Source organism: Homo sapiens, chromosome 6, assembly GCF_000001405.40.
Source record: "Homo sapiens chromosome 6, GRCh38.p14 Primary Assembly".
NCBI lineage: Eukaryota > Metazoa > Chordata > Mammalia > Primates > Hominidae > Homo > Homo sapiens.
The window spans coordinates 135,030,928-135,054,857 of NC_000006.12; the positions used below are offsets into that span (position 1 = coordinate 135,030,928).

Below are 23,930 nucleotides of genomic sequence, written 5' to 3' on the forward strand. Positions count from 1 at the left end.
CATGCAATTTCACAGAAGGTGACGTCGGCCTTTTTGATACAGCTCTCATACTGTAAACAAATGTCCTTTTCATGGTCTACTTAGTGTCGCATTTTTTCCAGTTTTGTACTTTTTGTTGGTAATTTTGTACTTTTTGTTGGTAATTTTTAAAATGGCCTGTAAGTGTAGTGCTTAGTATTCTAAACACAAGAAGGCTAGGATGTGCCTAACAAATAAAAGATATTAGATAAGGCATGACTTCCAGTGCTGTGGGCCATGAGTTCGGTGTTAATGAATCCATGCTATACACATCCATTAAATAAGGTGTCTTTAAATAGAGACACATATAAAACAATGTTATGTATTCACTGATTGATGAAAATGTTATGAGAGGCTCACAGGAACCTACCTCTGTATTTCTTGTAGGAGCAATGGTTCAGTATTCATTAATTCAGTGTTCGTAGTGACTATAAAACATAACTACTGCAAATAACAAGAGTCGACTATATATGTATGCATATTATGTGCACACACACATACATTTACTTATTTATAAGGTGGGAATAACAGGAATGGTAATCAATTATGAGTAGCAGGTGAAGAGAGATGAACCAAGGATGATACTAGATTCCTGATTTTGGTTAACTAGATGGTGACAGTAATAACAAAGACGGGAAACAGAAGAGAAGGTGGCACCTTGGATGAGGAAGACAAAGGTGTCAGCTTTGAAGGGTATAATATGCCACACTGCAATAAAGATAATCATGTGCTGAAGTGTGCATATATCCTCCTCCCCTTTGACGTAAGAATCATATCTTTGTTCATCTTGGGTTATATCCTGCAACTAAACTGCTTTCCTTCACTCATCCAATATAAATTAGGCATGTCAATGTCGGAAATAAATACGCATTTTATCAGTTTTGTTTTTTCTTTTTTTTTTTTTTGAGATGGGGTCTCACCACACTGCCCAGGCTGAACCTGAACTCCTGGACTCAAGTGATAATCCCCCTGCCTCAGCCTCCCAAACAGCTCAGACTACAGGTACATGCCACCATACCCAGCTTATCATTTCCTTTGCCTTGCACTGTCATCTCTGCAATTACATCACCAATATTCATCACAACCTATACTTAAAGAGTGTTTCTATGTGAGTCCTAAAAAGTAAAAGAATATATAAAATTTTACCCCATGGAAGGCAAGAATTCTAAATGCTAAATACCTTAAAATAAAATTTTCACAACCAGGTAGTTTGTTTTTTAATTTGTTTATAGAAATAAAACAGTACTTTCAGCATAAATGAGTAAAAGACCATTCAGAAATATCAAGTTTATATAGAAAATCCTAATGGATAGATTGTATGTTTTTACATTTGATTTAGGAAAATCTCAGAATTTTAATTTCTTTCAATGTAGCTTTTACAAAATATATATATTCAAAATGTGACAAATTTTTTACAATCTAAAAATTAAAATTGTATAACTGCATAAGCTGAGCTTTATGTCATTATAAATATATAGGTAAAGGAAAACTAGTATAGAAATTCATATTAATCCCTCCCTGTCTAGTCCACATTTATATATAATCTGTTTATATATAAAACAATTTCTAAACTATTATAAAACTGACTTTATAACCAAATATATACCTGCATGAACACAAAAAACATGTTGATACACAGTACTTTCTCAACATACAATGTATACTTGTTTATTTGCAATGGTCCACATACAGATTCAGGGTCAATTTAAAAAGGTAAATAATCATATGAGAACTCATTATTCTTCTCTATAACCGTATTTTATCTTCAGTGGTTCCTTTTACTTACAAAAAATGAGCACCTTATTAGTTTTATCCCTGGTATGACAATTAGTTACATGACCTCCCACTGAGTACTAAAAACTAAATATAAAACACTGACTATAGTTATTAATACATATGAGAAGAAAAAGAGTAAAAGACAAGTTTAAGAAAGACAGATTCAAAGCTAAAAGGAGAAAAAGAGGTTAAAATGCCAGTTTAGTAACTAGGAAAAAGGAAAAGTTTTAAAAAGTGCTCTGTACAGAAATGAAACCCTGGTTCTTGGCAATTTATTGCAAGAAGAATCATATCCAAAAGAGCCACCTAAAGACTTTAGAATGCAAAAGGACAAAACATCCATCCATGAACAACATCAGATCTTTTAAGAAACCAAAAAGAGTGAAGAGCAAAAATTGTTTATAATGTATTTTATATCATTTAGAATATAATTACAATATTATTTCTATTTCTAAAGTAAATTATTAATGCCCTTGATCATAATGCAAATAAAAACAGCTTTGCATCTTAAAATTTACAGCTGAACTGGAAAATAAAGTCAACTAAAACACGTAGCATACCTGAGCTACTAAGACAGCAATCAATAAACAGCAGCTGGTACAGAATATACACTTAGTGCCAACAATCATCACAAGGAGTGTATTCATGAATAAGCAGACACTTGGCTTTTTACCAAGGATCGATGGCCAAGGGTGGAAGGTGGAAAGGTCTGCTCAGTTCCACCTTCGCAGTCTCAAAGAGACTGTGACATTCCCTTAGTCAACAGGGCAAGTACTTGTCATGTACATGCCTGACAGACCAGCAGCCAAGCCAAGGAAAATAGGAAGCCTGGAAACCTATTTAAGGTATTGTTGCCTTCTCTTACCACCCTATAATATCTAATTTTTTCCCCACCAAAAGAATCTCATACCTAGTAGTTACAACCCTAATCAGCCAACAAATGGAGACCTAGTTCACCCTAGAAGGTCTACTATATGGTTTTAAAAGTATTGCATTTCCACTTGAAAATTACTTTGTTATAAAAGAAGGTAACACAATAGTGCTGCTATTCAACTACAGTGTAGATTACATAAGTATTTGGGGATTCATGTGCAATGTGGACCACTTGTGCAGCACCTAACCTATCAGTAATTATCATCAGTTACAAACTCTTATAATTCAATTAATTCACTCCTAAGTTGGAGACTGCTAATATATACATCTAGTTCAGTCATATACTAATTCAAAGTTACTAAAATGTTTGATCAAGGTTCAAGACCAGAAAAACAATCTCAACCACTGGGATAACTCAAATTTTAAAATCATTCACAAAATATAGCTTGTGATTTAAATGATGTCCTAAGCATTAGTATTATGGTGCACTGATACATTCAATTAAAAACAAAAACCTGAAGACAACACAAGAAATCAAGAAGTGTTTGGTTTAAAAAAAAAAAAGACATAATGCCATCTTAACTTTTCCCATCAAAATACTGAATATAAAAACATGACACAGATTAAAATTTTAGAATGTCATTCTGAAAATAAACAGAAACAAAAGTAATACAAAAAATTATCAAATGCACAGTAAAGTAGCTGCCAGAGAAAAAATATTTACTAGGAAAAGACCAGCCTTTTCATTTTCATTAAAAAAAATATTTGGCCAGGCGTGGTGGCTCACACTTGTAATCCCAGCACTTCGGGAGGCCGAGGTGGGCGGATCATCTGAGGTCAGGAGTTTGAGATCAGCCTGGCCAACGTGGTGAAACCCCGTCTGTACTAAAAATACAAAAATTAGCCAGGTGTGGTGACACGCACCTGTAATCCCAGCTACTCGGGGGGCTGACACAGGAGAATCGCTTGAACCCGAGAGGCGGAGGTTGCAGTGAGCCGAGATCATGCCACTGCACTCCAGCCTGGGGAACAGAGTGAGACTCTGTCTCAAAAAAACTAATAAAATAACATTTTAGATACTACTGTATTATATTTTTCCAAGGAATACTAATAATATCTCCATCATTTTATGCAAAGGGCCATTAATTCCTAAGTAGCATTTTTCCTTGGTATTCCTGATTTCTAGAAATTATTCATTCAAGTTGGTCAGATGTTATTCTTGGCATTGATAACTCATTCTACTGATTCCTCCCTTTAAGGCAATGGTTCTCGAACAGAAATACACATTTTGGGGAATAATTTTGAAAATACACATTCCCAAATGCCATTCCACAGAGACTGCTTCAGCATATATGGAGTGAAGCCACAGTATCTGTGTTCTGAAGTAATTCCTCCAGTGATTCTGATTGCTAGTTGAGAACCACTGCTTTAAGGGATGAATTACATAATTATTCTACTGATTAGAAAAGCTTCTATTGATCCTGCATTGCTGAAACTTTGTCACTGTGGGGCACACAACTGTCAGTAGCAAAAAGGAAAACTCCACATTCCATTACTTATTGTAAAGAACAAGTTAGGCCGGGCGTGGTGGCTCACACCTATAATCCCTGCACTTTGGGAGGCCTAGGCGGTGGATCACAAGCTCAAGAGATCAAGACTATCCTGGCCAACATGGTGAAACCCCGTCTCTACTAAAAATACAAAAATCAGCTGGGCGTGGTGACATGCACCTGTAGTCCCAGCTACTCAGGAGGCTGAGTCAGGAGAATCACTTGAACCCGGGAGGCGGAGGCTGCAGTGAGCGTCACTGCACTCCAGCCTGGCGACAGAGAGAGACTCCATCTTAAAAAAAATAATAAGAACAGGCCGGGTGCAGTGGCTCACGCCTGTAATCTCAGCACTTTGGGAGGCCAAGGCGGGCGGATCATGAGGTCAGGAGATTGAGACCATCCTGGCCAACACGGTGAAACCCCATCTCTACTAAAAAAAATACAAAAAAGAAAAAAATTAGCCGGGTGTGGTGGTGGGCACCAGTAGTCCCAGCTACTCTGGAGGCTGAGGCAGGAGAATGGCGTGAACCTGGGAGGCGGAGCTTGCAGTGAGCAGAGATCGCGCCACTGCACTCCAGCCTAGGCAACAGAGCGAGACTCTGTCTCAAAAAAAAAAAAAAAAAAAAAAAAAAAAAAAAAAAAAAAAGCAGCAGCAGCAGCAGAAGCTAAAGAGATCTGGTAAAATTCTCCATTCAAAGAACATGCAACCATACTTGAAAACACTTTTTATATATTTATTTTAAAGTGTATACTTAGGACAAATGGTTTTTAAAAATGTATAAAAATAATTCACATATTAATCCAACTTCTATATTTACATGGTCCCTTAAAAGATTTTCATTTTATTATTATCAAAAATGTATTTCAACAATCTCCACAGTACTCTCAAAAGTCAGGAATTTTAAGATTTTCTAATAGAAAAATTTTAGTATTTACAGAAAAATAATGAAACTAGGAATTATATCATATTTTAAAATATAACATCTCAGTTATGCTGTGCCACATAAGAATAATCTTCACACTAAACTATAATAATCCCAAGTGCTGGCATTTTCGTTTAAGAACAAAGCACAAAAATATTTCATAGAAAAAAATATTTCATTATAAAAAACATAGAAAGTTGAATGCTTCAAACAAAAATATATGAGGTCTGATTTCACAACATCAAGTTTCCATATCCACTTTGTAAACATATACTCAGTATAGGTTACCAACTTAAATAAAGCCAGTTATCACTGAAAGAAGACATAGTTAAAAAAAAAATCAGTGCAAAAATACGTATCAACTAATCAACTGACCTACGACAATTTTCATAAAAATCAGAATTTGAATCCCATAATATAAAGTGATCCTCTGAAGACTTTAATTAAAAATAAAAAGCTCTACAACAGCAATCAAGTTTTCCTTTTGTTACTATTCTCTAGTAAATGCTTTTTTTTGATTAGCTTTTACAATGTCATCAGGTGATGCTGATTTGAAGTCAAATGGTGTTATTGCTACAAGTGGACTTATTTCTTTGTCCTTTACATCTTGAACTTGTCTACTATAAAGAAAAGTCTTATAGAGGTCAAGGGTGCGTCGCTTGCAGCTTTTCAGTGGGTAACGAAGACACAGTGTTGAGGCAAAAGCTGAAGGTCTAGCAGCAAGGGCCTTGGTCCAAGAGAGAGAAAAAGGTGGTTTCCTAGTCAGAGAGCCTTTGTTGTTTTTCTTATTATCCTTAGCAAAATTGGAATTCTTCCCTAGCTTTGAACTTAGAACTTTAGTTCGTGATGATGGAGCAATGGATGGGTCTACTACAGGCTTTGGAACAAAATCTGGGTTTTTTATAAGGACACTAAGATCAATATTTGAATCTATTCCAGGAGACCTCACTTCAGATAAACTGACCTCAAAGGACTCTTTCTTAATCTGAGAGTTGTCTACATCAATTGTTTCTGCAATCAATTCAGAAAGTGACAAATTCTCAAGGTCTCTTGTGGGAGAAGCTTTATGAAATGCCAATGACGACAGAGATCCTGTTAATTCTGATATTCCGGGTGAAGACTGACAGCGATTTGCTAATTGTGACAGGGGAAAGGATCCCAAACTTAGATCTGTGAAACTGGCAGATGACTGGTTACAAAGGTCAGATAAAGTAAAGCACTGGCTTATATTGTTTTCTTTGTGTTCCTGAAACAGTTCAGTTAGGGATGGACTTTCACACTGAGAAAACTGCAAATTATCATTTTTAAAAGTGTGATTCTTGGCACTTTGTTCAACTAAAGAAACATTTCCAACTTCAGTTTCTTTACTAGCATTTAAATTATCAACAGTCATATTTTCCAACGAGCTAGTTAAGTACAAAGGATTATTTGAACTTCCTAAACTGTCCTGTACTGGAATGTTTTGAAAATCAGACAGTGAATTATTTTGAATATATAAAGAATTATTCGGTGTTGTGCCCTTTATGATTATGGTCTTTAAATCTGGTATTTCTTTGAATGCAGAATCATCTTTGGAAATGCATTCAGATGCATGAGGTCTCAACAAATCGGCATCTAGGTTCTTTGAAAGCAGACTTTCCAGACTGTCTGTAGATGATAATCTGACTGATGGCTGACTTTCACAGGAATCTCTTGACATATCATGAATTAGGTTAGCTAGTGAAAGTTCTTTTGTTAACTTACATGATTCTAGTTTCTTTTCACTTTTACGTGTGTCAAGTTTCTTTTTTCTATGGAGTAAACAGTGAGTTGGAACTGAAGAATTATGAGATAATCCGTATTTTCCTACTGAGCTAGCAAAATCAAAGGGTTTGCTACTATAATCCAAATGATTTGCTGACTGAGGATAAGAACTTTGAACATTATCAGCTGAAACTTCAGAAGAAGAAAATAAGACTCCTTACCTTACAAGAGCCATTAATTTTCAGATGAATAGGTTGATATACGCAGAAGACAGTCACAGCAACCAAAAGGAAACATGAAATGAGGCATTTAATTACTAAATGCTTCTTTTGATTATGACATGAATAAAGTGATACTTGATCATTACTTAACATGAATACTCTAAAAAACAATAAGGGAGTATTACCTTCCTTTACCAATTTAAAGTAACCTTTATACTCTGTTCACTGATACATACAATGTAAGTCAGTCAATGTTCTAATTTTCACGAATTTAAAAATGTGAGGTCTTAACCATAATTAAATTGTAGTCAGGATTGTCTCAAATTCAAAAACTTCTTTAAAAAAACAAAAAAAACTAGGTTCCTTTTATTCTGTATTTTAATGTATTAGAAACAAATAAGCAAACAACCCCCGGTAATTTCTACCACAATCTGGGATACACTATCAATACAAGATGACATATTACAGACTCATTCCCATCACAGCCAGTTACAAGTGCCCATCTGTGTGCCCAGCATCCCTGGAAAACACACTCTTATTTCATGGTAACAGGCTGTACACAGCTTTGTTGTAGAAAAAATTTAGCCCAGAGGTTACAACAAACACTGACATAGTAAACAAATCGCCATACTCAAACTGAGAGATAGCATGCCAATTAATATAATGCTACCACCTCAGTTCCCCTCTTATGTCCACTGAATTCCAAATTTAACCCCAAATTTTACAAATTTAAAATTAAATCTCTGGCTATAAAATGCAAAGTAGTATAATTATGATACTTATACCTAATTATTTTTAAATAAAACAAAATTATACATAATAAAAGCATAAAGGGATTTTTTTAACATTAATTAGCTGGCTGTCAATTTCCTTTTCCTATCTCATCAGAGTTTAAAAAAATAACAATTAAAAAGTTCTATAAGCTACTAACAAGAAGAAAAAGATGTCTTGTCTTATCTAATTTTATTTCCACTATGTTGTTATAAAATCAACTAGTGAGGCCAGGTACAGTGGCTGACGCCTGCAATCCAAGAACTTTGGGAGGCCAAGGTAGGCGGATCACTTGAGGCCAGGAGTTCAAGAACAGCCTGACCAACATGGTGAAACCCCATCACTACTAAAAATACAAACAAAAAAAAAAGCCAGGCATGGTGGCACGCACCTGTAATCCCAGTTACTTGGGAGGCTGAGGAAGGACAATCACTTGAACCCAGGAGGTGGAGGCTGCTGTGAGCAAAATCATGCCACTGCACTCCAGCCTGGGTGACAGAGTGAGACTCTGTCTCAAAAAACAAACAAAAAAACAAACAAAAACAATCAAGCAGTAAAATAACCACAAAAACAGGCTACAACAGAAGAAACACAGTCATCATCCTAAAAATCCACAACTAGATCAACTGATAATCAAAAGTTAACAATAACATGCAAGATTTTAATAGCTCAAGCAAATTAAATATTTTCTTAAAAGCTCAAGCAAACGAAAGCCTCTCTTTAGGCATTAACTATGTAAAACAAGTGAAAAAGAACAAGTAAAGGCATACCTTTTGCTATCTTTCCTGTAGATACTGTTGCCTCATTCTTGTCCTTCAAACTCTGCACTCTATCTTGTTCCAGAACCCCTGACAAAGCCTTCTGCACATCAAACTTGTTCTTCAGAACTGCTTCAATTAATATTTCATCTGGCACAGCATCTCCAAGTACCTCTCTCATGTGATCAAGGCATGAATAAAGACGAGCTAGAAAAGACGACAATGGTCAAAAGCTATACTAAATGGTGCAATGAAAGAACTTTTAATCTTCAAAACTGATTTTAAAATTTACAGCTGTACTAGAATATTCAACTCTCCCTTCTCTTTGGCAAAAATTATCTCTAATGATCGTATTTTTATCTACAATATACCTATCTTCCCTTATCCAAGGAACGATTTCGTTAATTTAAAAATCACTATAATAAAATGTCTCCTGAATAATAGTGACTAATGTTTCAAAAAAGTGTACATTGCACAGTATACACTAATATCTATTTTCAGTCACCAGTGATGATGGTATCTGCAATGATCATTTTTTGCATGTACAGAAAGGAAGGGGTGAGTGTGGAACTATTTCTAATTTGTTAGTGAATCCAGTTATTCACGAAGTATATTTCTTATATTTCTCAAGCTGCTACCTTAAGTTTCCTTTTTGGCTAACTTCAGTTCTTCCCAGCTAACTAAAATAATCCTTAATGACTCTTTAAAAAACGGCAAGATAACATAATATAAAAATGCCATAAAAATAAGAAAGTCCAGGAGATTAAGGGGAGGATAGGCATTCTTTTTTTTTTTTTTTTTTTTTTTTGAGACAGAGTCTCACTCTGTTGCCCAGGCTGGAATGCCAGTGGCGTGATCTCAGCTCACTGCAACCTCCGTCTCCCTGATTCAAGCAATTCTCCCACCTCAGCCTCCTGAGTAGCTGGGATTATGGACGCCCGCCACCATGCCCGGCTGATTTTTCTATTTTTAGTAGAGATGGGTTTCACCATGTTGTCCAGGCTGGCCTCAAATTCCTGACCTCAGGTTTCCACCTGCCTCGGCCTGCCAAAGTGCTGGGATTACAAGCGTGAGCCACCGTGCCCAGCCGGCATTCACTTTTAAAAGAAAAAAATTTAAGTCTGGAATTATCTAAGCTGTTTATGAATTTTAATTTTCTGATGACATTAGTATTAAAAGTAATTATTAATAATACTTATTAATGATTTAAAATCCATAAGAGCAGAGAGGCTTTGTATCCCTAGAACCCTTTGTATCTCTAGTACCAGGTAACTAGGGGCCAATGAATAAAAATGAATGATATATTCCCTTATATTTTTGTATAGCACTTGACAATTTTCACAATACTTTTATGTATATTTCTTTTGTAATCCTCATAATAAGTCTATGAGCTAGATATATCAAGCAAATTCTAACTTAATAAAGATAAGATTGAAAATCATGGCACTACTAAGTTAGCAATAATCAAAATAGAATAGAGGTTTTCAAACTCCCTATTCCACAAAACCATTTCACAGAATGCAATTTATATTTAATTGTACATGCTCATATGCTGAACAAGTAATCTACTGGCAATACCCTTTCTTTAAAAAAAAAAGTATTTGATACTTCTTTCATTGGCCCATTAATTATTAAAAATACATTCCTGAAATATTTGGGCAATTCTGCTTTGCTTCAATTTAAGATTAACTTTTAAAGGCTAATAAGCTATGGGATAATATTATCTCTTTGATAAATACATCAATTATTGAAACTGTAACAAAATAGTATAGCTAGCTAGCATCAGGGCCTCCTCTTTTTTATTTATTTATTTATTTATACTTATTTATTTATTTATACTTATAAAAGAAGAAAGCTAAAATATAAATATCTTCATTAAAATGTTTAAGAGAGTTGAAAATATGCAAAAACTCAGAACCGATGTCATTACCAAGTTCTATCTTGAAACTTAATTCACACAGATGTAAATCTTGAAACTTAATTCACACAGATGTAAATCCTGAGGACACTTATACAGTGTCACTTTAGACTTCAACTGGTTTTTTTTGAAACCTCTTGAACTTAACATCTTTGTAAGTAAAGGAGTTTATGTATTCTAATCATAAGCTCCATATACAGCTTATGAAACAATTAAATCATCTGAAAAAGTTCTTCTTAACGAATCACTAGAGTTTCTCTCCCATGGAAAAAAATTTTAAATGGGATAGTTCAATTAAAATTTCAGTTACTAAACAATAGCCATACAATTTTTCAATCATACAGTTAAATACACTCCTCACAAAACATACTTAATAAAACATAAACTGTCCTTGAATATGAAAGATATGTTTACATCATTACTGTTCATAGTCACTGTTATAAACACAATAAAACTGATAAATTCTGGTGTATTTGGTCATTAATCACTTTCAGATAACAGATACACTACTTTTTGCTATACCTTGATCAAATCCACTGAGCTGATGGTTTGAAACAGAATTGGAAGATTCTTTCAGATCTTCATAATCATATTCTTCCACAGGCTCAACGGAAGGTTTGTCACGCCGTGAATAAATAAACTGAGCAGCTAGAATATAAAATGATCAAAGAATGCTATGGTATAGCCATTTCCTATTAACTTTTTTTTACAAAAGTTAAAGTAAAAATTAAAAATTCTAATCAATCACCTATAGTTACCCATATTTCATAAGGGATGAAAACAAAAACAATATCATATCAAAACATATACCTAAAATCCTACTCGAAGGTGCTTACAATTTATTATTCTCTTATAATCTTCTTCCTTCTTTCCCCCAATCTCTGAAACCATTCCACTCAGCCTACTTTCTCCCTGGTTTCCAAAATCTACCTTTCCTAATATCTCTTCTTTGTATACTATTCTGTGTTCCCTGAAATTTTCTCTTCAATACAAATATTTCAAACCAAATATCAAACTTCTAATTTACATAATTAAGAAAACACAAGGTGGCCAAGCGCAGTGGCTCACCCCTGCAATCCCAGCACTTTGGGAGGCCAAGGCGGGTAGATCACCTGAGGTCAGGAGTTCGAGACCAGCCTGGCAAATACAGTGAAACCCCATCTCTACTAAAAATATAAAAATTAGCTGGGCGTGGCAGTGGGCACCTGTAATCCCAGCTACTCAGGAGGCTGAGGCAGGCAGGGGAACCGTTTGAACCCAGGAGGCGGAGGTTGCAGTGAGCCGAGATCACGCCATTGCACTCCAGCCTGGGTGACAAGAACAAAACTCCGTCTCAAAAAAAAAAAACAAAAAAAAAAAACAGAAAAGAAAACACATGAAGTGCTAATTTTGCCTGAATCTAAGAGTTCACGGAAAATACAGACTTTAATCTTTAAACAACTCATGCTTTCAATCACACACTTTCAATTATACACTGACACTGTAAACTAGTGTCATATACCTAACTTTAACTTTCAGACATCTGTGCTACTCTGCAATACTGCCAAACATCATCACTCAATATATAACTGGGTATTCATATGTATCTCATTAAGGAAAGGAAAGGCAGATTATCTAAATGCCAATACATGCCTGAGTATCATAAATGAAATACAAGTGAGCAAAGGAGAAAATCACAGGCATATCCACAGTACTAATGCTTCCAGCTCTACTGGATGGCCACTGAACTGAATCCTGGACACTGTGTTCAATTGTAAAGGAACAAAATTAAAGAATATGTTAAGAAGGACAGAAATATAGATATAATATTCAAAAGGCAAGGTATTATTAGAGGTATTATCTAGCTTTCTATAAGAGCACAAAACATGTTAAGTTCATTGACTTGTGTATAGATTATCAGGAAGATATTATTTATTAAAGGGAAGCTACATTCAAAATTTATAGATATACAATCACATTGAGGGGTAGAGAAAAAGACATCAAAATGTATAGATAATGCATAGAACATAAAGCTGCAGTGTATGTGTAACACCTATACTCGGAAGGTTAAAGCATAACCACTCTCTATTCATTGTAAAAGTCAATGGCCTTACAGATTAGAAGGGAGGGCAAAGAAGAAAAACGTAATGACTTATTCTAAAAGCCAAATGAGTAATACCAGACAACAAGCACTGCGGAAGCACAGAAGTAACCAATGAAGACTGGAGCATTATAATAAAGGAGGTAGGAATATAGGGAAAATTGAAGAGGTGGAAGAGATCCTGAACAAGGAGAAAAGAATAAGAGAAATATTAATAAAGAGCAGTTGAGAGAATTCAATCCGTTCTACTATAATGCACGTTTCCTTAAAACAAATTAGCTCATGTCAATGGGCTATGAAAGTGTAACATTGAGGATGTTATGAAATTTTATGAAATTTGTCTCCCAAAACTTCAAAGTTTTGCATCACTGCATAATAACAACACATATAAAGTCCGATAACACCAACCACAGAGAAATATTATGCTGCAAGATAATTGTATTGTAATGCCACGTAGCTCCACATTCCTCCCCTTGGCTCAGTTTGGACATGTGCCCTGTTTGGAGAGCCCTTACTGCTTGGCTCTCCAAGGTCTGTGAGCATTGTGCCTTTACAATATTATCCTTTAGTTTCAACCCTTTCTTACATCTCCTATCAAGCTTTCACCTTTTTTAAAAGTGTAAAATCCTATATTTACTGGAGTACTTATTAGGAAATTAATGTATCTTTTCAAATGTGCAAGCATTTTTATTAAGATAATTATTTCTGTTTCCACTCTATAGGTGGAGTGGTTTGTCCTGATCTTATTTTTTCCCATAAGTTGTTAATTTTAGTATATAATTCTGAAGACCACAAAGTTTTTTAAGAATGCACGTTATGTTGTGTATGTATGTATGTGTAGGGATACATATATCCCTATTTTCCCCCTCTTGTGCAAGTAGATAACAACACTGGTATAAGGTCAGCATGGCTAAATAGCAGAAGAGACATCCTATTTCATAAATTCTCTAAGAGGACAACTTTTTTCACATTACAAATCTCAGAATTAGAGATGTGTCTTTCAATCAAATGACATCTTAGCATTACATAATACTTAGACTGATAGCCTTTTGTTTTAAAGTGGTCCTTAAAATAATGATACACCTTACAATTCATGGCATTTTAGATTTAATAAAATGTGGCATAAATGATGCCCTTTGGTCCCTGGTGCTTTCCTGGCTTTAATAAACTGTATTCAGTTTCGTCTAAAAGTAACAAACATCCTTCCCCCAACTTCTCCTCCTACCCATGAACTAGGAGGGAGAAACCTAAGACAAATTAAAAAACTAAGTGAGGCATGAAATCAGATGTTTCCCTCAACAAGTTTCAGTCAGGAAATACTGACAGGGAAGAGGAAGTTTTCAATGCACAGGCTTCTCCTCTGCCTGCCAGGAGCTATTTTTTCTGTGGTGGGGTCGAGGGTGGTCCTATACGACCACACACACCCAACACATAACTCCAACTCAAAAACCCATACTGTGGCCACTATTTTGGAAGTAGTAATGGTTGGATTTGCAAAGGGTGGGTGGGGGGAAGAGTAAGAAAACTCCCCCAGGAGAAGTATTGGGTCGCTGCAAAAGTAACCGCAGGTCTTTCCATTACTTTCAAAGGGTGGGTGGGTGAGGTGGGGAGCGGTCCAAACCTCTGAAGTTGTACTGAGAGCCCCAAAAGCAACAAATACAACAAATAAAGGAGTGAGAGAAAGTAATGATGAGAAAATGGTAAATACAAAATGCTATTCTCTAAAATTTTAAATCACAAACTTTGATGGAAGTGCCTTCTGAAAAAACAGACACCTATAATTTTTAAAATTTAAGGCATTTTGACAAACATAAAAGTGCAAAGAATTCAAAACCTAACACCTGAAACTTCCTACAATGGTTTCCTAAACATCTTAAAATAAAAATCACATGAGGCATTCATTAAAAATACAGATTTCTAGGCTTCTTCCCCGGGAGATTATGACTCAGTGGTGCTGGAATGAAGCAGGAAATTTGTATTCTTAAGAATTATTCTGGCCAGGCACAGTGGCTCATGCCTGTAATCCCAGCACTTTGGGAGGTCCAGGCAGGTGGATCACCTGAGGTCAGGAGTTCAAGACCAGCCTGGCCAACATGGCAAAACCCCATCTCTACTAAAAATACAAAATTAGCTAGGCGTGGTGGCGGGCGCCTGCAATCCCAGCTACTTGAGAGGCTGAGGCGTGAGAACTGCTTGAACCTGGGAGCCAAGTGGAGGTTGAGGTGAGCCGAGATCGTGCCACTGCACTCCAGCCTAGGCTACAGAATGAGACTCCGTCTCAAAAAAAAAAAAATGATTCCCAGCAGATTCATATCACAAGGTAAGATTAAGAAACACTGGTGAACTACAAGTCTCCCCTTTATTCTGGCCCACCTATACGCCACTTTGTGGACCATGATCAGTTATCTGCACAAAATACTAGCTCCCTTACTCAAAAAACTCCAATAAGTTGACACTAAAAACACAAAATTAGAAACTGTCTTTCACAATTTCATTCCTATTTTCTTTCCTAGCCCTCTTTCCTCCTGCCACTTGCATTAATCCTGGTAGTCTGATGAAACAAGCCTCACTCAGAGGCCATTGCTTAAGCAACGTTGTTTCCTCTAGCTGGGATGCCATTCTTACTCCCAAATTTCCTAGCTTCAATCCCACCTCCTTCTAGAAGCCTTCCCAGACTCCTTCAGTCAGGGTTATTTTCTTTACCCACAGTACTGTTGTAGCAAGTTATTTGAACAAGACTTTAAACAAGCTTCCTTATACCAAACTAATTTATAAATGTATTAGAATAGTGTTTTTCTTACAAAAAAAAAAAAGAATATACAATAAAGGTGTGAAATTAGAATGGAGCAAACAAAGATTACTTCTAATCATATTAGCTGAAACAAAATACATCACCATTCAAATAAAGTTTTATATGCAAACTCCTTTTGCTACCCCCTACTCTTTGACATAGGTTCAATACTCAGTATCAATCTTTCTAAAAGAAAGAAAAGTTAACGTTTAAAAATCACCATCCTAGGCTGGGCATGGTGGCTCACACCTATAATCCTGGCACTTTGGAAGGCCGACACAGGAGGATCACTGGAGCTCAGGAATTTGAGACAAGCCTGGGCAGCATAGTGAGACCAGGAAAATTGAGCTTAATAGAATTCAAAAAAATATACACGTGCTGATGAATTTTAGAAAGAAATTCCAATTAATTGATAAAGTCTTTCAATTATCAGACTTCATTACACCATGAATACAATCAGCTTTTCAATGACATTAGCTGCTTAAGAATAGAAAATATTCTTCTAAAACCATTCATTTTTTATTGAAAATTACTTGGAAAATATACCACTATAGAGGAAAGTAAGTTTCTTATCTGATGTTACTGCTATTTTAAAATGTTTTGAAAAATTTAAAAATCCAAAGTCGTATGCTTTTGTTAAAAATCAGTTTGTCACAGAAGAAACCAAAAACATTTAACTATCTCCTGCTTTGATAAGATCAGTTGGCTTCTTGGTGTGTTTGAAAAGTAACTCTCAGAGTCAGACTGTCCTGAATACAAACCACAGGTAAGAGCCACATCAAAAGCTATGAGAGACACATGGATAAACTCCGTCTCTGTCCTCAAGGAAGCTAGGCCATAAATGCAAGTCTCAGAGAAACACCCTTTGAAGGTCTGACTTTGTACTATTACCTTATTATTCAAGATAACATAACATTTATCCAGAGAAGCCTAGATAAATGACTGGGTTAACCTGCAATATTAAGGTGTCTTTCAGTAATCCCCCCTCTGAAAGATTCCACGCTTATACAAAGCCATATTCAACCAACTTCCAAGTCCTGCAGACCTCAACTCCTGTAAATTTTCTCTTGAATGTATTTCCAAATCCAATGCTACCAACTCTTGCCCTAAACAAATGGTTCTCAATGCATACCACGAGCATACCCCAGTGGGCTTGTTAAAACATCTGCTATGCCTCACTCCTAGTTTCTGACTCTTGGGTGGAGTCCCCAACATTGCATTTCTAACAAACTCTCAAGCGATGCTGATGGTTCACTTTGAGAACACTGTCCTAAAATAGCCTCATCTCCTCTAGATAAATACATATAACAGTCTCCTAACGAGTCTACTTACATCCACCCATATACCACCTTTAATCCATTAACTATGTATTAGAGATTTTTTTAACTCAAATCTAATATAACCATATCATCTTCTCAGTTCTATATGCCATGCTCTCTAATGTGCTTAGAATGTGAGTGATGAGGATAGCACTACCAGACATCACTTTGTCACCTCTAATATTTAAGTTACCTAGTCAACTGTGATGCTGAATTATAGGAGCCCCAAAGGGCAAATGCCTAGGAGGTTCCTAGAAAAATGTGAAATTGTTTTATTCCTAAGTCACTACAAAATGTCTTCTCTTTTGAACCCCTGAATAAGGAGCTATAAAGGAATGCTGCTTATTAAGCCACCTCTCAGCTTCTAACCTACCATCCTTTACTCAGCTTTGTGATGCTGGATTGAAGTCACTGCAAAGCACATTTCTTCTTTGATACCCGGCTCCCTTTTAGGATCATCCAATAAGGAGATATGAAAGGGACACCGGAAAGCCAGAGAAGGCAGGCACATGCTCCTTTCCTTTTGCTTCTTGTTCCAGTATCACCCCAGCAATACTCACTTCACCTTCCAGAAGCAGTTTCTTCCAGTAACTGCAATTAATATCCGTTTTCAGTTTTTCCAAAACTCCCAGAACCAGCTTCAATTTGCCTCTTCACTCCCCAGACAACACGACCAGCCAGTAGGTTGGAATCCCCTCTTTAAAAGGCGGAATCCCCTCTTTAAAAGGCTGAATCCCAGCTCTAAGATTCAGGGACCTTCTGAGGCACCAGCATCAGCCATGCAGTGCCTCCCTGCCCAGAGGTCTGAGTCCTGGCCCCACAGTCCCTCTTGTGAACTTCAGAGGCAAAGCAGCAAAGAACCCTCTCCTCAAGGTCTAAGTCACAGCTGCAAGGAGCCTCCATCAGCTTCTAAAAGGTGGTTTCAACCTTGCCTTTTGTTCCCCTAAGAACTAGGGACAGTAAAGTGCTTCCTGAACTTACTACCTTCTTGATATCCTGGTTGCACTTTTTGCATTATTTGTTCTATAATACCTCATTAACAACTTTTGATGTTAAATGTTCTCTGATAAAATAACTGGTGCAATTTTTATCTCCTAACAGAATATAGACTGATAACAGTGAAACATTAAAAGATGAGAGGAAAAGCCATGATTAAGCTAAATGAGAAAAGTACTTGACCAGAAGAGCAGGCCTGTACATAAAGAGCTAGATGCATTTCAGAATAACCAGTTAACAGGAAAAGGATGACAGAGTAGATATGATAAAGACAACTTCTAGCATATCTATGCCTTTACAAAGAAAAAGAAATTATAAAAGTCAGAAGGGGCATATTTGGTCTGCAGAGGCTAAAAATAGGATGAAAGCAGGTACAGTTTATAAGACAGCCCAGCGGACTAGAGGGTAATTAAGACAAGGAGGATGTATTAGTCCATTCAGGCTGCTATAACAAAATGCCATAAACTAGGTAGCTTATAAACAGAAATTTCTGACAGTTCAGAGGCTAGGAAGTCCAAGATCAAGGCAGTCTGTGTGTGGTGAACACCCGCTTTCTGGCTCACAGACAGCACCTACTTGCTGTGTCCTAACATGACAGAAGGGAAAGAGTTCTCCTTGGGACCTCTTTCACTAGGAAATTAATCCCATTCATGAGGGCTCTACCCTCATGGCCTAATCACCTCCCCTCCCAAGGGCCCCACCTCCTAATACCATCACCTTGGGGTTAGAATTTCAACATGTGAATCTGGGGAAACAAACATTCAGACCATGGCAGAAGGCTCTGAAAGAAATGTTAATTATATCAAACCTTTAAACTTGTGAAAAATGAGTTTTATAAATTATATTTATGCTATACCCAACCACAGGTAAATATACTATTATACACTCTTTTTATACCATATTAAATTTTTTTTTCCATTTTTTGAGATGGAGTTTAGCTTTTGTTGCCCAGGCTGGAGTACAATGGTGTGATCTCAGCTCACTGCAACCTCTGCCTCCCAGGTTCAAGCAATTCTCCTGCCTCAGCCTCCTGAGTAGCTGGGATTACAGGCACTCGCCACCATGCCTGGCTACTTTTTGTATTTTTAGTAGAGACGGGGTTTCACCATGTTGGCCAGGCTGGTCTCGAACTCCTGACCTCAGGTGATCCACCTGCCTCGGCCTCCCAGAGTGCCGGGATTACAGGCGTGAGCCATCGTACCTGGCCTACACCATACTAAAATTTAGCAGGGCATTTTAACCTGTGTAGACAGTAGGCTGAAATTTGGAGACAAATGTAGTGTTAGAGAAATAAGTGACAGGAGGATCAGGATTAATGACTCAGCCTTTGCTGGGAAGAATATATCAATGTTCTCCTTATATGGTGGCAGAGAAGAAATCTTTGGGCTGATAATCTAGAAGATGCAGCTCTGATGTGGAATTATACAGAAATATGAATGCCAAATTCCTCTGTGGCTCCAAAAGAAGTCTGAACTACATATATTGGTTTATTTACCAAACTGTTCAACAGATAAACTAAAGTACTGTATAAAGGAAAGTCTAGGCATAACACCTCCAAGTTTCTAATACTCAAAAGATCCTTGAGGATATAATGGCTGCCTGCCTCCAGAGGCTTCAGAATTTCATTATTGACTAAATTACCATTTTAGTATATTTAGATTAACTGCATGATGCAAAGTATGGTGGAAAAGAAGCCACAGTCTTTTTCACATTATTTAAAACTAAATAATAGAATCACAAATTTAAATTCTACTCACAGGAAAAGAAATTATTTTATATGCCTTTAATAATTAACATATAATTAACTTTTTAAATGTTATATATTACAGTCTCACAGAACACTCCAGTCCTTGAACGACTAACATTTACATTTTTAAACACCAAATCTAAGGAATCAAATTATTTTTAAAAATTCACCTGTTGACGGCGAAATACAATAATCATCCTCTACAGACTGGCCGTAGAGATCATCATCTTCAAAATCTAAAATAAAGACAAAAGAGATAAATTCATTTACAAGTTCTTTTTATATTCTTAGTTACTAGTGAGGAAGCATCTGAATCCTCTCCAAAATAAACTGTTTATCAAAATTTAAGGATCCTAGAATGTCTATTTTCAAAAAAACTCTTAAGAATTTCACCCACAAAATAGGTTATTTACTAACTCTATATTTATAAAGACATACACAGTTCTTCAGTTGTTAAATTAATTGGGTTTACCCAGGTCCCAAGTTTTCACCTCATAGGATCAAATACAATAATCCTATAAAAAATATACTTGAGGCCAGGCACGGTGGCTTACGCCTGTAATCCCAGCACTTTGGGAGGCCGAGGTAGGTGGATCATGAGGTCAGGAGTTTGAGACCCGCCTGACCAATATGGTGAAACCCCGTCTCTACTAAAAATACAAAAATTAGCTAGACATGGTGACGTGCACCTGTAATCCCAGCTACTCTGGAGGCTGAGGCAGGAGAATCACTTGAACCCAGGAGGCAAGGTTGCAGTGAGCCAAGACCGCGCCACTGCACTCAGCCTGGGCGACAGAGCAAGACTCCGTCTCAAAAAGAAAAAAAAAGAAAAAAAGAAAAAAAAATACTTAGTCTCTCCAGTGTTGACAAAAATCTGAAATAAACCATTTTTTTCACCATGTGCCCTCTAAAACCAAAGCACTTCTCTTCCACAGAACATGGGGGTATATAATAGATCATGAAAGTAGTATTTCTTTATGGAGAGCTAGGTAACATCTATACAAACCAACTTACCCTAAACTCCCTATGCCCACCTGCTGATGGCTAACTGCCCTTTTTTTCTGCTTCCTGGGATATGCTCTTTGCCTAGATTTTCCGAGGCCATTTCTTTCTGCTAGTTAAGGTTCCAGCTCAAATGTCTCCTCTTTGCACAAGTCTTCCCTGACCACTCTGGGTAAAGCAGTAAGCCCCTCTGCTACTGTTACCCTCCAGCACACTTACCCAATTTACAGAGCGCTACGCCTGTTCACTACATGAGACTATCAGCTTCTTCAGGGCAAGACTTGGTTTAGCCAACTACCTGGCACATATGGGGCACTAGATTAATATTTGTTTTATTATAAATTAATGAATCAAACTAATTACAACTAAAAACCCACAAAGAACATAAATATATTTACATAAATTTCATTTGACAAACACTAACACCATGCCAGGGAGTAGTTGAGACAACTGTGGTATAACAGTGAACACATTTCCAGTTATCACTGCACCTAAAATCTGACAAGGAATACACACAAGATAATGGGCAATTACAAAACCATGTGACAAGTGCCTGATGTGAGAAACACAGAGCAATTTGGGAACACACACATGAATGACAAAACTAGAACCGGGAGTGGGGCAGCTAGGGAAAGATCCCCATTAATATAATATCCAAACCAATTCCAAAGGATAGAGTTAGCTAGTTTCTGAGGGTATTCATGCAGCAGGAACAGCATGCTCAAAGGCTGAGACCAAATGCTTACAGCAAAGAAAAATTAGATAAATGCTACTATTGGGCAAAAACATATATGATTAAATAAATTATTAGATCACAATCCCAAGTTAATAAAAATTTATTTGCAAATAAACAAGGGGCCATTCACAAACAAAGTATTTTTAGATATTGAAGACAACAATAGGCCAGGCATCGTGGCTCACACCTGTAATTCCAGTACTTTGGGAAGCCGAGGAGGGAGGATCTCGCTTGGGCAACACAGCCGGATGCTGTCTCTACTAAAATAAAAAATTAACCGGGCATGGGGGCACATGCCTGTAGACCTAGCTACTCGGGAGGCTGAGGCACGAGGATTGCTTGAGCCCAGGAGTTGGAGGTTACAGAGAGCTATGATCATGCCACTGCACTCGCACTCCAGCTTGGCCAACCAACAAAGTGCGATCCTGTCTCTTAAAAAAAAAAAAAAAAGAAAAAAAACTCTTTTTTACTAGGTCAGTTTGTCAATGCTGAAGTTGACCCTAAAGTGCCACAACATATAAAGATGAAGAGAATTCTTTCCTGCAATCTTCATAGTTTGTTTCCTCAATCAACAAAATTATGAAATATTTACCACATGTAAAGAACATTGTGCCAGCTACTTAAAGTATGGATTTTGCCTTCCTGAGACTTTTAAATCAGTGACTGAGGCAGTCATGTAAAGTATTACATAAATTACAGAGAAAAACAAAGTGGGAGTTAAGTAGCGGAACCAGTAGGTTTTAGAACACAAACTCTCTCTAATGAGGTTATATTTCTTAACAGAATTTTTAAATTATTATTCTGAGAATTCAAGAGAAAGCCTAACTGGGAAGAAGAGAAATAAACTGGACCTTAATGAGTACAACTTTTATAAACAAGAAAAGGGGATGAACCTCCTTAATGTTACAGGAACAGCTTGGTTATGATGTCACCAATTGTTTCAAAGAAGCATGACAACATGACAACCTAACCTCAAGAAGCCAAGGTGCTCCCTGAGGCCAACCACCTCTCCTCCATGAAGCATTCCTTAACGTAGAAATCCTGCTTAAATTCCCCCCAATCCATTCTGAATTAAGTGTTCTCATCTGTGTATCCCTCCCATAGCGTTTTCTCAGTACCTTTTGTAGCATTTTTCATACTCTAATAATCTGTAACTCGTATAATCTTCTCCTTTTAGACCACCCTCAAATATCTTACTTTCAGTCCTCAAAGCTTAGAACAGTACTCTAAGCACTAACTTAATGGTGGTTGAGGAAATGATAAACAACTATTAAAGAAATGAATGAATAATAAATAGGCCTATTCATGTACTTTATATTTGCAAAAATCTCTCTCAATCTAAAGTCATTTCTTAGGTGACAATGGTCCACATGCAATACCATCCACTGCAATATTTATTTAAAAGGGCCTCCATTCTAAAGTAACCACCAGAAAATTCACATGTTCTAGACGGACTGAGGTCACAGGTTCCAAATGGAGAACAGGGTGTTAGCTGCCCTCACTCTAGTTAAAGCATACTGATGTTCTATAATAATCTACTGGGGTGCCAATGACAATCACCAACATATTAAGCACTACATGTTCTGCACTTCGTAAAGCATAGTTCTTTATTCTTCTCCTGCATTAGTTCATTTTTGTTTATATTTTTAGTTTATGTGATGCTTGGTGATGCCTATAGTTATCTACTGCATGAAGAGGGATGTGCTCCTCCTAAAAATAATTCTAACTCCTGTTAACTCCTACAGAACATTCATACAGACATTTTTATTTCATTTTTTAATATCAAAAAGTCCTTTCCTATACACTCTTTCCTCTAGTACTGCCGTTTATTTACATTTCAAAATACATTTATATCAAGCATTACCAGCCAAGAACTAAGTATAAACTTCAAGATCCATCTGATCGACTCATTCTTTGGGCCTTTTTAACATGTGTCTTTTCTACCGTCTCCTAAGTTTCCACTTTGAAATTCGTTGAAAAATAAATTAGCGCAAACTGATTCTGCACTAGGTATGTATGGACATACACAAAAGGTTTACCATGTAAATCTAACACAGGTACACGTCCGTTGAATGTATTAAGTCAATCTGTGTTTTACAAATAAGCAACGTTTCATGGACATTTCTCAAAGGGGATCTGGGAGAGAGGAGCTAGAAGCAGGCACGTTAGTGCCCAACATGGGAGGAAACAATGGAAGAGGTGATAATGCTTACGTGCCTAAATATCACCGGATCTCAACCTCACCAATATCCTACCCATATGACGCTATGCAGCACCTCCCCCTCCCCAAATAAAATCAACCCCAGAGGGCAGAAATCATGACTTAAAAACGACGGCATTTGAAAGCACTAGAAGGCCTGTTATATTCCCCAACTGGGGCTCTCCCAATCCCGACAGGGCAACACTGACGAGAAACTCACAGATTGAAGTGGATGCCAACGGGCTAGGATCCCAGCTGTAGCCGGGAAAAGAACGTCCCGGCATGACCCTGCCACCTACCTTCATCGTAGTTATAGCCTCGAACATTCCGATGCCGGGCCATGACGGCGGAGAGGGCGTTTGCCACAGCCCCTTAACTCCTTCCAAAACACTCCGCTTAGATACTGATAAGGCGCCAACTGCAGCCTGGAGAACCCCTATGCGCCATCTTGGCTTCCCGCAGGCCTCTGCGCCGAGCGCCTGCGCAAGCGCGACGTCTTAGCTGTGCA

General features: G+C 37.0%; 1 protein-coding gene across 6 annotated transcripts in view; it reads right to left on the reverse strand.

The window, feature by feature from the left end:
• The window catches only part of HBS1L (HBS1 like translational GTPase), a 94,445-nt gene extending 70,550 nt beyond the window's left edge, over positions 1-23,895 (reverse strand). For 3 of the 6 annotated variants that reach the window (NM_006620.4, NM_001363686.2, XM_047418093.1), the window contains exons 1-4: positions 23,722-23,895; positions 19,655-19,720; positions 11,074-11,199; positions 8,646-8,840 (exon numbers count right to left, since the gene is read on the reverse strand). In NM_006620.4, coding sequence (NP_006611.1) covers positions 8,646-8,840; positions 11,074-11,199; positions 19,655-19,720; positions 23,722-23,764 — 430 coding nt within the window. In that variant the 5' untranslated portion in view covers positions 23,765-23,895. Of the gene's footprint in view, positions 1-4,937; positions 7,100-8,645; positions 8,841-11,073; positions 11,200-19,654; positions 19,721-23,721 lie in introns of those variants that run through there. The other 3 variants (NM_001145207.2, XM_017010192.2, NM_001145158.2) reach the window with 3 other exon arrangements.